The sequence below is a fragment of the Homo sapiens genome, chromosome 18, assembly GCF_000001405.40.
Source record: "Homo sapiens chromosome 18, GRCh38.p14 Primary Assembly".
Lineage (NCBI taxonomy): Eukaryota > Metazoa > Chordata > Mammalia > Primates > Hominidae > Homo > Homo sapiens.
In genome coordinates this window covers 9935017-9950294 of record NC_000018.10, presented here as the reverse complement: position 1 = coordinate 9950294, position 15278 = coordinate 9935017, and the positions used below count along the sequence as shown (strand labels likewise).

At 36.3% G+C, this 15278-nt stretch overlaps 1 protein-coding gene across 8 annotated transcripts in view; it reads right to left on the bottom strand.

Moving 5' to 3' along the window:
* Positions 1-15278, bottom strand: part of VAPA (VAMP associated protein A) — a 46006-nt gene that overhangs the window by 9727 nt on the left and 21001 nt on the right. For 5 of the 8 annotated variants that reach the window (NM_003574.6, XM_047437929.1, XM_047437930.1 and 2 more), the window contains 3 exons: positions 14082-14185; positions 13229-13309; positions 5237-5371 (listed from right to left, as the gene is read on the bottom strand). In NM_003574.6, the coding sequence (NP_003565.4) occupies positions 5237-5371; positions 13229-13309; positions 14082-14185 (320 nt within the window). The remainder of the gene's footprint in view (positions 1-5236; positions 5372-13228; positions 13310-14081; positions 14186-15278) is intronic. The other 3 variants (NM_194434.3, XM_047437932.1, XM_017026079.2) reach the window with 1 other exon arrangement.

Sequence of the window (15278 nt, the reverse complement as noted above, 5' to 3'; positions counted from 1 at the left end):
TCTTTAAAAGGCCTAAATCAGTACATGTCAGCAGTCAGATTAGTCTAAATAACCAGCCCACTCCCTCTATTCCCATAATCCCTGGCACGTACCTCTACCATAGCACTTTATTATGTATCTTAATAATTATTGTTCAAGTTCTTTCCTGTAATACTTCAAAGGCTGAGAGAGCAAGAGCCATCTCTCTTTGTATTTACCCCTAAAACCAGCACTTTGGTCAAGAGTAGTTATTCAATGAAAGTATGCTGAATGACGTCAACAAAATCCATTGAAGGTCATTTTCCGTGCTCTGGTTGTGCAATTCAAATAAGGTTCTGGGGGGTAGGGGGATATTATCGTAATCATTCCAATAAAATCGGAAACTACCTAAGAAAAAACATGCCCAAGAAAAGCTAACTTCTATTAATTTGTCATCTTTAGTAATGCTGTTTGCTTTAATTCACGTGATTCAACATCACAGGAGCACTTAGCATGCTTTGAAGACTATGAGCCCCAAAATCTTAATCCTCACCAACATTGAACCATTTGAAGCTAGTGAAGGCCTGGAGATAAATATCTATGACAGCACCTATGTATTCTTCAGCCCGTTGTCTAAAGTACCCCAACATCCTTCACTCCAACAGCATTTATGTCACCACACATCGTAGCAGTATTAGTGTAACAAGCTTTTTTCATTTTAATTAAATTCACTTACTTTAAAATAATTTTAGGTAAAATCTGCTTTATTCAGCTATAAACTGCTAAAAAAGACATTTACTAAATCAACTTTATGGCATTCCACAATACTCATTTTATAAGATTTATCAGAGGCTGCACACCTACCACACCATCCCAGCTGCCAATTTTATATTAAGTATAAACAGATTGTTCAAAGGGCAAAACTTGTTATTCTTATGAAGGGGATGTGATTTGATTAGTATGCCTAAATCCATGTAAAATCTATTTAAAAATGAAAATTTATAATGAGGTTCTAATGAACAACAGCATGTATGTGACCTGTCGGCAGACTCTTCCATTCTTCTTCAAGCTTCCCAGTTAAGCAACGTTTTAAAGCAGCCTACTTCAATTCTCTGAGTTTTTCTCTTGCTAGCTTTTTTGTTCTTCACCCCCATTTCTCCCACCCCAACCAATCTAATAATAGCCGCCCCTATTATTAAAAAACTGTTTCAGATATATTTTACCCTGCCAATACTTTTTCCTGTTCTTTTCCTTAATAGTAGTTAGAACTCATTTGTGATTTTCAGTGTGGTCAAATTCTATCCTAGCACAAATCCAACTTCTGATAATGAGGTTGGCACACTGACTTACTCTATAAAGGAGGTGGCAATGGCCACCAATATGGCAATAGAAGAACTTTCAGGTTTTGGTTAAAAATTGGGAAAAAGTATCATACTCATACCAGAAAACTGATAAAAACTTAAAGAGGATGAAGCAGGGCACCATGTCTGATGTCTGTAATCCCAACACTTTGGGAGGCCGAGATGGGTGGCCTGCTTGAGCCCAGGAGTTCAAGAACAGCCTGAGCAACAGAGGGAGACCCTGTCTCTACAAAAAACAATTTTAGAAATTAGCCAGGCATGGTGGTGTGCACCTGTAATCTCAGCTACTCATGAGACTGAGGTGGCTTGAGCCCAGGAAGCGGAGGTTGCAATGAGACGAGATCGTGCCACTGCACTCCAGCCCAGGTGAGAGTGAGACCCTATCTCCAAAAGGGGGAAAAAAAGATATACATGGGGTCAACACCAAAGAGAAAAAAAACTAAAAGAATCATCAAGCTCGACAACTGATTATTTTTAAATTCTTTACATTGCATAAAATTTTAAATTACGGAGGGAAGGGAAAAAGTCATTTCTCACAATCTTGTCAAATCAACAAAACTATTATTTATATTACTATTATTAAATGACATGTCATTAAATATTCTATTCTATGCCTTGCCAAAATTAAACATTTCACTTTTGTTAAGCATTTGATGGGCAGCTTTCCATTCTTTCAAATTTTAAATAACATGTCCATAGGAAGACATTCCATAAAAAGATAACTAGATTGGAATTAGATTTAGATTTTTCTAATTCTAATAGAATTAGACTTGGAATTAGATTAGAATTTATCTAAGCAAATAGAATTAGATTTTTTTGTTGTTGAATTTCTCTTAAAAATGTTATACTGCTTTTGTAACAAAAAGGAGAAGAAATGATAACCAATATGTGGAGCATAAACAGAATAGAATGCAAAGAATACAGTGAAGCCGAAACACATTTCAAAAGTGTGCCCAATAAGTTATATCACATACTACCTAGGCCCCTTACAAACCAGTGAACATACATAACAGGTGCAAGAAAATCTAATTTATTTACATATACATATGCTACATATGTATATGTTATGCTATATATGTATATGTAATGGGGGGAAGTGTGATGGGAGGGTGGGCTTTGAGTCATGCATGGAGTGACAATCTGAAGAGCCTGATGGAAAAAATTAAGCAGGTGTAACTTTAAGTATATGCTTCCATCCAGGACCTCTATTAGTGAGGTTTGGCTCCAATAAAACAGCTTGTTTCTTGAGAGTTGCTTCAAACTGGTCCAGAAAGAAAAGACTGGTTGTTCTGAGAACCATGAAACAAGCACACCAGAGAGATTCAACATGCTGTGACTCTTAGTAAATTGATGAATGGTAACCTTACATTTAACACTGCAATTCAGAATAAGCTGGAAGGTCAAGGTGTGTATCAACTAAAACAATAAACCAATCTTGTCCAGTTTCCACTATATTATTTAGCCTATCTGCAGTAATCCTCCATCTGAGTTGTCCAGTCATGTTCTGTATAATGATGTTTTGGTCAACAATGATTCATACATATGATAGTGTTCCCATACAATAATAATGGCACTGAAAAATTCCTATTACCTAGTGAGGTCTTATCACAATACATTATTCACGTTTGTGGTGATGCTGGTGTAAATATACATACTGTACTCCAGTCATATAAAAGTATTGCACATATGATTTATGTACAATACAGAATACTTGGTAATAAATGACTATGTTACAGGTTTATGTATTTACTGTTATGCTTTTTATCATTTATTTTAGAGTGTACTCCTTCTACTTACGAAAACAAAAAGGACACTCTAAGTCAGACTCCAGCAGGTCCTTCAGGAGGTATTCCAGAAGACACTGTTAACATAGGAGATGTCAGCTCCATGAGTGTTACTGTCCCTGAAGACATTACAGTGAGACAGGATGTGGAGGTGGAAGGCAGTGATACTGATGATCCCGCCCCTGTGCAGGCCTAGACTAATGTGTGTGCTATGTCTTAGTCTTAAGAAAAGAAGTTTTTTTAAAAATCTTATTTAAAAAATAGAAAAAGGCAGCGAATAAGGACATTAAAAAGATATTTTTATTTATCTATACACTGTGCTTGTGCTTTATGTCAAAAATTTTAATTTTACAGTTTATGAAGTTACGGACAGCTAAGATTAAAGAAAAAAATTTTAATAAATGTAGCCTAAGTGTACAGTGTTTATAAAGTCTACAGTGTACAGTAATGTCCTAGGCCTTCCCATTCACTCACCACTCATTCACTGACCCACCCAAAACAACTTCCAGTTCTGCAAGATCCATTCACAGTAAGTGCCCTATGCAAGTATACAATTTTATCTCTTATGCCATATTTTTGCTGCGCCTTTTCTGTGTATAGTCACGGGTGTCCAATCTTCTGGCTTCCCTGGGCCTCACTGGAAGAAAAATTGTCTTGGGCCACACATAAAATACACTAACACTAACACTAACTAATGAGCTATTAAAAAAAAAAAATCACACAAAAAAAAACTCATAGTGTTTTAAGAAAGTTTACGAATTTGAGGTGGGCCGGATTCAAAGCCATCATGGGCCACGTGTGGGCCGCAGGCTGCAGGTTGAATAAGCTCAGTGTAGATTGTTTCGATACACAAATACTTACCATTGTAGTACAGCCACAGGCTATACAAGTCTGTAGCCTAGGAGCAAAAGGCAATACCATATATAGGTTTTTGTAAGTACACTCTATGATGTTTATACAACACATCACCTAACAACACATTTCTCAATATATATCCCCATCCTTAACAGATGCATGACTGTACTTCTGTATTCTTTTTTAACCATCAGAATTTCAGTTCTAATATCCCAAGTATTTTTACTGGGGGTTAATTAGAAAAAGAGGGAACTAGGAATTGGAAATACAAGAAAAAGTTTGCAAAGAAGCCTTGGGAAGAACAAAGGAGATAAAAGACATAAACGTGGGCCTACATTCTTACAACTAACAGGAGTGATGGATAAAAACGCACATAAAGGGAGTTAAAAGGCTAAAGTCAAGAGTACTGTCATAAACCGAGAGAGGCAAAATTAAGGTCTTAACCTATGAATTAAGAGACAGGATTTAAGTAACAAAGTTACCTGAAGTTTTTTTTTCCCACTCTAAACAGCCAATTTACTGTTTCTTTAGGATCATGACTCCCAGAAGTAAATAATTCCCAATCACAAAAACAAAAAATTATTAAACATTTAGATAATTTTTTAAAGCCTTAGTATGCATATCATCTGCAAAACCAAATCAAAGTATAAACAATCTGTTAAAACTGTGGGGTTGCCACATGTGGTGGCTCACGCCTATAATCCCAGGACTTTGGGAGGCCAAGGCAGGTGGATCACCTGAGGTCGGAGTTTAATGAGACCAGCCTGGCCAACATGGTGAAACCCCATCTCTACCAAAAAAATACAAAAATTAGCCAGGCATGGTGGCACGTGCCTGTACTCCCAGCTACTCAGGAGGCTGAGGTGGGAGAATCCCTTGAACCGGGGAGGCAGAGGTTGCAGTGAGCTGAAATTGTGCCATGCACTCCAGCCTGGGTGACAGAGCGAGACTCCATCTCAAAAAAAAAAAAAAAAAAAAAAAAAAAAGAGTATATTCCCCAAATCTCAAAGAAAAAAATTACAGCAACTTCATAATGTTCACACTTATACTGTCCTGCTCACTATATAGATTTTAGTTAAGTTCAGAAGTTTTTTAGAACAGAATAGTTTGTATGCATGATTTTTAAGTGCTTTGTAGTTTTATTGTAATTTTAGGCATAGTTCAATTCTATCTACTTCATACAACATACTCACAATACCACTTATCTGCTAGGTATCTACATTAACTTAACCATTGACACTAGTAGACTCCTAAGTCTGTTAACTCCCTATAACAAACCTTCTGTTTCTCCTGTTTCAACACACTGAGTCCCCTGGGGTCATCCTTCGTGTGATAACTGGCAGGTGTTGCAACTGTGTTGTTGATGCTGCTCATTGAAGTGACAGTCGGAGCATTCCCTGGTGGAGTTATACCCTGAGATGGCATGGGAAACATATTCTCAGATTCTCACCGAACTCTGATTTCTTCTGCATGATATTGGGAATGACTGACACAGAAAGCATTAGGCTCTAAACATTAACACTTTATAAAAATGCATTAATGCATAAGAAACAATACTAATAATAGCTATGTTAAAGCAAAAGTAGTTTCTGAACTCGCTTTTTGTATTTCCCAAACAAAATTAGTTATAATCTACTTGCATTACATGCACCTATTAAATGTACATACTTTATTAAAATTTATGCCAGCCTTACATTGTTTTAAAATGAATACCATCTAATTCTTTGTGGCTTTTAATGTTTACTAATTAATAATTGTCAATAATCTGAAAAACAAGCACTTGTATGTCTTCTTATCTTTGATAACACTCAATCTGAACAATTTCATAAACCTCTCTTGTACTTAAAGCCTATCCCCCAATACACTCACTCTCTCACACACATCCCAGGCCAATAAACACTTAAAGACTCATATAACCATTAAGTCCATAGTTCTCTTCCTTTCTTTTCAAATTCCTTTAATAGATAAAATACTGTATTATACAAACAGGTGGGAAAGGGATTCCCTAATTATACTTACTGATACCCCATTTGTTCTGTCTCAACAGAAAATAATGTATATTCAACCATTTTATGATAAGACCCCTGAAATCCCTTTATAAGACCCCTGAAATCCCTGTTCTTTACAGCCCCTCAGTCTTCATTTAAAAAAAATCAGTATTTTTTTCTAGAAAATATGTCACCTTCAAGGTCAGGCGCGGTGGCTCACGCTTGTAATCCCAGCACTTTGGGAGGCCAAGGCGGGCGGATCACAAGGTCAGGAGATTGACACCACGGTGAAACCCTGTCTCTACTAAAAATACAAAAAATTAGCCAGGCGTGGTGGCGGGCACCTGTAGTCCCAGCTACTCGGAGAGGCTGAGGCAGGAGAACGGCGTGAACCCGGGAGGCGGCGCTTACAGTGAGCCGAGATCGCGCCACTGCACTCCAGCCTGGGTGACAGAGCGAGACACTGTCTCAAAAAAAAAAAAAAAAAAAAAAAAAAAAAAAAAAAAAGGGAAATATGTCACCTTCAAATGTCAGATGGAGGACATAAATGAAATGCAATACATTTAAGAAATTTAGAAAATGTCAGAGTTAAGGCCTCAAAAATTTTTTAGAAGTGAACACAAAGAACTGAATAGGTCATAAAACTTCAAAAATAATAAAACCACATTTGATCCTTAAAAAATAACCACTACCACTAATTGGACATTACGTATATACAGAGCTGACAATCCAAACAGAGCTAATAATTCAAAGAACCCTATTTTGTACAACAGCGCTTTCGTATCATGTGCCTCCAGCTGTCAACAATACAGGGAACAGGCTCAATGGCTTTCAGTACTAGCACTGACAACAACTCAACTGAAGACACTAGGGGCCATTAACAAAATGAAATGTATTGGCACACACCTGCTGATCCCGAGGACTAGGGTAATGACACATCTTAGTGTGCTTAAGGATGGTATTTGCTTATGCTTGTTATCCAGGAAAAAATATTGAGTCTTTTTGTTCTAAAATGAAAGGGTTCCTAAGTTTCCTGGGGCACTTTATCTATGATCCAAATCAGAAAGCTATTTCCCAAAAAGTAGCCCATACTTTAGTGATGGTTCAAATAAATGAGAATTGTTTTGTCACAAATAAATGATTTTTTAAACTATAAAAATAAAAACATGGACTCAAGCCACTGTGCTTCTAAAGCTGGCTCCATTTTTCACCCTATAAGATGACCACAAACCTTCAATCATTTCCTTACTTATATATCCAGTATCAAGGTCCTAAAAAGTCTAAAGAAATCAACAAAATAACATCATACTCTTTTTTCATGTGTTCCAAACATGTAAACACCCAAGAATTAACAGCATCCATAAAAAGATCAAAATCCTCACACAAGTGGGGTATACGCATACAACATACTTGATATGGTTTGGATCTGTGTCCCCCGGCAAATCCCATGTCAAATTGTAATCTCCAGTGTTGGAGGTGGAACCTGGTGGGAAGCGACTGGATCATGAGGGTGGGTCCTTCATGAATGGTTTAGCACCATCCCCATGACACTGTTCCCATGATAAGAGTTCTCATGAGATCTAGCTGTTAAAAAGAGTGTAGCACTGCCCCTTCGCTCTCTCTTGCTCCTGTTCCCACCACGTGAGGCATCTGCTCCCCCTTTGCCCTCCACCATGACTAGAAGTTTCCTGAGGCCTCCTCAGAAGCAGAAGCCGCCCTGCTTCCTGTACAGCCTGCAGAACTGTAAGCCAATTAAACCTCTTTTCTTTATAAATTACCCAGTCTCAGGTATTTCTTTATAGCAATGTGAGAACAGACTAATACAGTACTTAAATACCAGCGTACTTCTTTCTGCAAAGAGATACAGGAAGGGGGGGCTGGGGAAGTGAGGGAGTGGGGTTAAAACACACTAAAAAAAAATCATAAAGTTCAAGACTTGTTATCTCTACAATATTTGAGGAGAGTGCATCAACAATTATGATAGCTATTGCAGAATCTGCTTTGAACACTAACCAAATTTTTCTAAGTTGACTACCAAAAATGAAATTTTGATCGACTCTTTAAAATAAAGTGACCCATAAAAATGGTGCTTATCTGAGGTGATTGATAGGTTAATTAGCTTGACTGTGGTGATCATTTAATAATGTATGCATATATTAAAACAAAAAATAAAGGTGTAAGGAACCCCTATGAACTTGTCCACTGCTCTAAACACTAAATAAAGCTGAATAAAAAAATACAAATGCCATCCACAGAGTTCTACGTTAAATACTAAGTTGTTACCAGCAACGCAGTTAAAAGCTGAACTGATTTTGCTTAAGTTAACATACTTTTTACAACATACTAATAAACTAAAATAAAGGGTCAAAAGATCTCAAAGAATTCTCTATATCACAATCATAACTATAAGATAAAAAGTATATTTTCTACTCTATACTTTTAAAAAATACATCACCAACAGTTTTCAAACCATTTTTGTTAACCTTGCACATTTAGAAATGTATTTTCTTTGAATAAGGGAGTGTCATTTCAGCAACTGTGTAAGTCAGGATTCAGCATCATACAGCATTTTATCAATTCATCTGAAGTAAATTAACAAACTGTATCTATGCATCACACTATCCAATAATGCCCTAATTTCCAAAGAGCCAAATTTCATGCTAAACAAAGAAAAGGAATATTAACTACTAATTTTATCTACAGATACTAGAAAGAAACCAACATGTCAAAGATACTTTTTTTTTAACCAGTTTTATCAACTTCGTCTATAGAGAATATTGACCTAGAAACAGCAGGATACAATTATCAATAGGGTCTTATTACCACATGAATAAAATATTAAGAGGTGTTTTGTTTATCTTTAGATAGACATAAAAGGTTTTATCCTTAATTGTTAGAAACAAAAACTTCTTATATATTTTGTACTATCATAAGACTTCAGATTTGGTACCTTAAGATTTCATATTTTCTGTAAAAGATGAGATGCAACATTAAACTGATTAACTTGAAAGTCACATAATCAACTAACAACCCAGATGGAGTTGGGTCTGTGCCAGGTTGCACTGAGTTTAAACACATTTCTCAGTAAGTAACATTTCTTGTACAATCTGCAGGGTAGTTAATACTACAACAGTGAGTTTAGGCAGGAATAGTATTTCCCAAAGTATATTTTTTCAGAACATCAGATATTTCCTAAGTTAATTAGGTTATTTTAAATTAAAAAAAAAATACTGGGTTAAATATATTTCTTTACCGTTACGTTTTCTCAGAGCCTTTAATAGGCAAATACGCAATGTGATTCCTCTTGGAGACATTTACAGTATTTTTCCAAGCTCACCTGTCTACAGAACACTTCCAACCTAATACACTGGGAAATACTGCCTTATAAAAACACAATTGTGTTTTAGCCTCTCTTTAACATACACATTAATCAATTAAGGCCACTTCCAGCCTAAATAGTATAGACACAATTTTTGCAAGTTTGAATTACATAAATTTGAAATGGTGATATATTACAATCTTTAAGTCTCATTCTATGTGTAAAACTTGAAATGTAAATTATAAACACTCAAAAACATCCATCAAAAATCATAATGACGAGGCCAGTGAGCCATCAAAGTCATAAGCTGTATTTATGTATTGCTGTAATTGAAACACCACTTCAGCTGGTTCATAGAAGTACCCGCCCATTCTTCTCAGGATCAGTATTGGATTTTGCACATTTTGAATTACCCAACATAATCCAACCATAAAATGCAATCATTACCCCAAGAAATAAAAGGATCCACATCATCCTATATGCTGCTGACACAGTTTTATCATTAAAATTTTACCATTTGAAGAAGCACCTTCAAGTGAAAAATGGGCCTCCACTCTTACCTTGGTCAAAAAAATGAACAGAAAGTTTGATAAAATTAAAAATCAATTTTGTCACAGGTACCCGGTCGATTATAGTTGTGAAATACCATCTCCCACTGAAATGGCCCTGAGCTTCTTTCCAGGTCTGGACCTGGAAAAATCTTGCCACATTAGACAAGAAAATTACCAAAGACTATGAGGGTCAAACAAACTCAAGAACCAATTTAAAAAGTCTCCTTACCAGGCAATTTGAGCATCAACAATAATAATAAACTACCAAGAGTTAAAACTCAAATATGTTTAAATTCATGAGTTTTATCAATATAGAAGCAAGCAGGGAAGAAAGAAAGGATGGAAGGTGGAAGATCAACTGTACATCACGAGGTGGGATGCTTATAAACCAACTCATTTTTTAAAACCTCTAAAGAGAAACTTTGGCATTTGTTCTGCCTTTTTAAACTCTACCACTGAATAACCAAATATTACATAAGCACAAGTTTCTCCTTACACAAGTATTGTAAGTAGTGTATGAAGTAGGAATGACAGAGTATGACCATCAGACAATCTTAAATGTACTAACAGACCTAGGTCATACTGTCTCAATCTCAACTTTACTGACATTTTAAGCCAGATTATTCTTTGTTGTGGAGGCTGTTTTGTGCATCACAGGAAGTTGAAAGGCATCCCTGGCCTCTGCCCACTAAACAGGTTAACTGTAGCACCCTTACCTACCTCTCAGTTGTGAAAACCAAAAATGTTTCCAAGCACGGTCCCCAGAGGAGCAAATCGATTGCCCCTGGATAAGAACCACTCATTTCAAACTTTCGATCACAGGAAATACCAGGGACAGGGAAAAAAGGTTAAATAGCACCACAAGGATGGAATCAGCAAAATCAATTCTGTGGGAAAGTCTATAGGCAAACCTAGTTTAATAATAAAAACATTCAATAATTTGCAAAAAAAAAAAAAAAAGAGAGGAAACGTAACAAACTAAGAGATTTAAGAAACGTATCATCCAATAGAAGTATTTGGACTTGGCCAGGCAGGGTGGCTCACACCTGTAATCCCAGCACTTTGGGAGGCCAAGGCAGGTGGATCACCTGAGGTCAGGAGTTTGAGACCAACCTGGCAAAATCCCGTCTCTACAAAAAATACAAAAATTAGCCAGGCGTGCACCTGTAATCCCAGCTACTAGAGAGGCTGAGGCAGGAGAACTGCTTGAACCCGGGAGGCAGAGGTTGCAGTGAGCCAAGATCGTGCCACTGCACTCCAGCCTGAGCAACAGAGCAAGACTCCGTCTCAAAAAAAAAAAAAAAAGAAGAACTATTTGGACTTTATTTTCATCTAATTCAAACAAACTGCAGAAAAAAAAATTTTAATGACATTTGTGACAAGTTTTAATGCTGTCTGGACAGCTTGATATTAAGGATATACTAAATTTTTAAAGGCATAGTAACAGTATTGTCATTAAAACTCTTTTATCTCTTTTTTTAAAGTACTTTGAAAAATACACATTGAAACAGTTACAGATTAAATTATACCAAGTCTGGGATTTGCCTTAAACAATACCTAAGATGAGAATTAACAGGATTTATATATAATAAGCTTAACCACAAACTAGTCATTGTTAAAGCTGCTCATAAGTTCACAGAGGTTCACTGTACTCCTCCTACCTACTCTTCTAGGTGCTTCTAAGTTTTCAAAATAAATCTTAAAAATTATCTTTAGCAGATATTTCCTACAATTTAATATACAAGTCCAGATAATCCAATTAGTGAAAATACATTCTGCAGCTAGCTAATCAAGGTTCAGACTCAGATATTCTCTAAAGTACTTTGAAGTTACTTAACAGCTTTTAGGTTACTAGTAATACCTGCTCTGAAAAGGTTCCAGGCTCAAACTACTCCTGCTCGAGTTCCACCGCAGGGGATTCTGGGAACTCCATTCAGTATTTGTTCAAGCGCTAAAACAGACCCAAAACTACTTTCTTGGATAACTATGGGCTAGACCAATAGGTAGGCATAACTGCTCTTTTCACCCAAGATGTGTAAATGGCGAGGTTCAACTGTCATTGCCGTATCATTCCCATCAACTTCTGGTTTGGTTTCTAAACCAGTGAGAGCTACTCTTAATCAGCAGTATCAAATACCTGGGGTTCCAATCCTTTTCACACATCTCAAAGTGTGTGCTATCCAGAGCACAGTAGAAGCCCAGATAGAAGATAGATTTACGCTGACCGAATTACTGTAAAAAATGACATAAAACTCTCAGTGAGAAAATATCCAAATTTTTTTTTAAAAAGTCAATCCAGACAACATGCTGTTTTGTTTTCTTGGTTTCAACAGTAAGAGCTGGGCAAGCTATTAGCTTCCCTCCGCCTAAGCAAAAAAGAAAACCTCCAAATGGGAAGCATACACAGGCCATCTAACACTCACTTTCCACAGAGAATACATGTGTTCACAATTTTTTGCTTTTGGCAAATACCTCAAAAATCACTTAAAAGAGGCATTTTAAAAATTCAAAATATAATTTGGTCAACACCTAATTACCAGAGACCTTTTCATTTCTGCTTATCCTGAAAGAGGAACACAATAACTGAGCCCACATATTTAATCTGCATGTTTACTTTTCAATAGAGCAAATGGCCACTAGATTAAGGCAGTAGTCATGTCAGATTGTAACCAAATTGTGCCACACCATTCTATTTATCCATATTATTGTATGTATTAAGTCACATACACACACAGAAAAATTTATCTTTCAAGTCTCTCTCACCATAGGAAAAGATTCAAATTTGCAATCCAGACAGGGAAATGGACAAGGTAAGTGACTACAACCCACTCGGTACATTCACAGACTATTTTTTGTTTGTTTTTGAATAAACAAATACATCCCTCAGTCCCCCAAATTGTATTAGACTTACACTAATGAGTAAGCAACATAATAATTATTTACTAAAGAATACAATCAGATGGATTTGACTAAAAACAAAAGTGAGCAAAATACCTAGGAATAACTAAACCTGGAATAAACTGTCCATGTAAGTGAATTTATCCCCAAACTGCCGGTACATAGTGGCCAAAAAGCAATTTATATGTATTTTTAAATTATGTATACACATCTCATTCTAAAAAAGAACCTGCAGTGGTTTACGTCACAAAAAATCTGGTAGACTTAAATGATTCTTCTCCAGGATGCAGTCTTGACCTAAAAGTGAGTCTTTCTTTCTTCTTGGATAAACAAAATGTTACTTTAAAAAAAAAAAAAAAAAAGGCATACCAAGTTTTTTAAAACTTAACCACTGAGTCTTATGAAGTGTAATAGCCATATCACACATACCTCAAAGGTCAAAAATAAAAGCAAAATTAATCAAAGGAACTGAGAGCTCAACAGCTCCCAATTTTTTTTACATTCTCCTACTTACCAATTTATCATTTTCATTGGGCATTTCAAATACGCATCTCAATTTGGAATCCATTAATTCATCAGGTTTTGCCTCTTTCCACTAAAAATAAACAAAACCAAACATGAGACATAGGAGGTATGATCATGGTAAGTAAGTTTCACCTCACGGGACAGCTAAAAGATGAGTGAAGCTGCCTGGCTTGGCTGAAACACACTGGTGCACTCTTTATTGATCACCCTGCCATTGTTATCGGCTAATGTCACAGAACCTTTATATAATCCTAGTTACTATCACCATCCATTAAAATCACGATGATATTACTAGCAACCATAGGACTTTCTTCTTAGCATTTCTTTCTTTTTTTCCAGTTGGTCTCATTCTGTTTCCCAGGCTGGAGTGCAGTCGCCCCTCCTGGGCTCAAGCAATCAATCCTCCCATGCCTCCTGGGTAGCTGGGACTACAGGCGTCCAACACTATACCCAGCTCATTTTTGTTGTGGTGGTTTTTTTTGTTTTTTGTTTGTTTGTTTGTTTGTTTTTGTAGAGACAGGGTCTTGTCATGTCGCCTGAGCTGGTCTCGAACTCCTGGGCTTGAGATACTCCCATCTTGGCCTCCCAAAGGGCTGGGATTACAGGTGTGAGCCACTGCACCAGGCCAGTAGCAGCATTTCTAAATTGTTTCTAAAAAAAAATACTATTTAAAAATTCTTTCATTCTTTAAGTTAGGATTATCTATAATGAAGAAATTGGCAGTTTTTTAAAAACCTAAATTTAACTTTTAGTTTTTAGAAATTAAGTTTTTCTACTGACTGCTAAACAACACCCACAGTTTAAACTCCACTTCCCAAAACAAATTCTTCTTCTATACTTACCACAGCTTCCATATCTGAAGTGTTTGGTGGAGCAAAAATTGTCTGTACCATAAACTTGTGTTTACTCTTTTCATTCGGATCATAGTCAAAGGGCTGTAGCATTACTAAATAAGAAAAAAAGGATATATTATATTGTCTCCTGCATGTCTGAAAGACATACATTGAAACAGTTACAGATTAAATTATACTAAGTCTGGGATTTGCCTTAAACCGTATCTGGCAATAGTATCATTCCTACTACTTCACAAATATGCAAATTTAAAAAAAACCAAGAAGGGTTCAAGAAACCAAACACTGGAATGTTTAAGAATCAACTTAATGGATCCCAAGTATTTTTAAATTGTCTGTCTTTCTAATTTACTAAGTTTTGCACAACCAACAAAATAAACAATTACAATTAAAAATTAAATATGAATCTATGATTTTGCCCTTTCTAAACTCAGCTTGTGAAAATTTTCAAAACTTTGCCAACGTTAACTATAATGCCTATAAGCTCAGATTAAATATAAGTTATTAAAACTATGAATTTAGGCTTCATTTTAGTGTTTTCTGATTTAAAATTATACAACTGAGATATTTAAAGGAGAAATACTCAGTAACTTAAAACCTCACTACCATCTGTTTTTTGTTTTTTAAAACAGGGTCTCACTCTGTGGCTGAGGCTGCGCTGCAGTGCAGTGGCGCAATCTCAGCTCACTGTAGCCTCAACCTCCCTAGGCTCAGGCAATCCTCCCACTTCAGGCTCCTAAATAGCTAAGACTATAGCCACATGCCACCATGCCCAGCTAATTTTTGTATTTTTTTGTAGAGAAAGGGTTTTCGTCATTTTGCCCAGGCTGGTATAGAATTCCTGGGCTCAAGAGATCCGCCCTCCTCAGCCTCCCGAAGTGCTAGGATTACAGGCGTAAGCCACAGCACCCAGCCCATATATTGTTTTAATATAATTAATTTTTCAAAATTGTATTTTAAATAAACATCTATTTCAGAGTTTATGAATTTATTTAAATCTTCTAAGAAAACAAAAGTACACAAGGAAACCATATAGCCTCTTGAGTTCTAAAATTTATTCTACAGTCTCAATAACATTCAAAATTTTTAAGTTTTTTTTTTTTTTTTTTTGAGACGGAGTCTTGCTCTGTCGCCCAGGCTGGAGTGCAGCGGTACAATCTCGGCTCACTGCAAGCTCTGCCTCCCAGG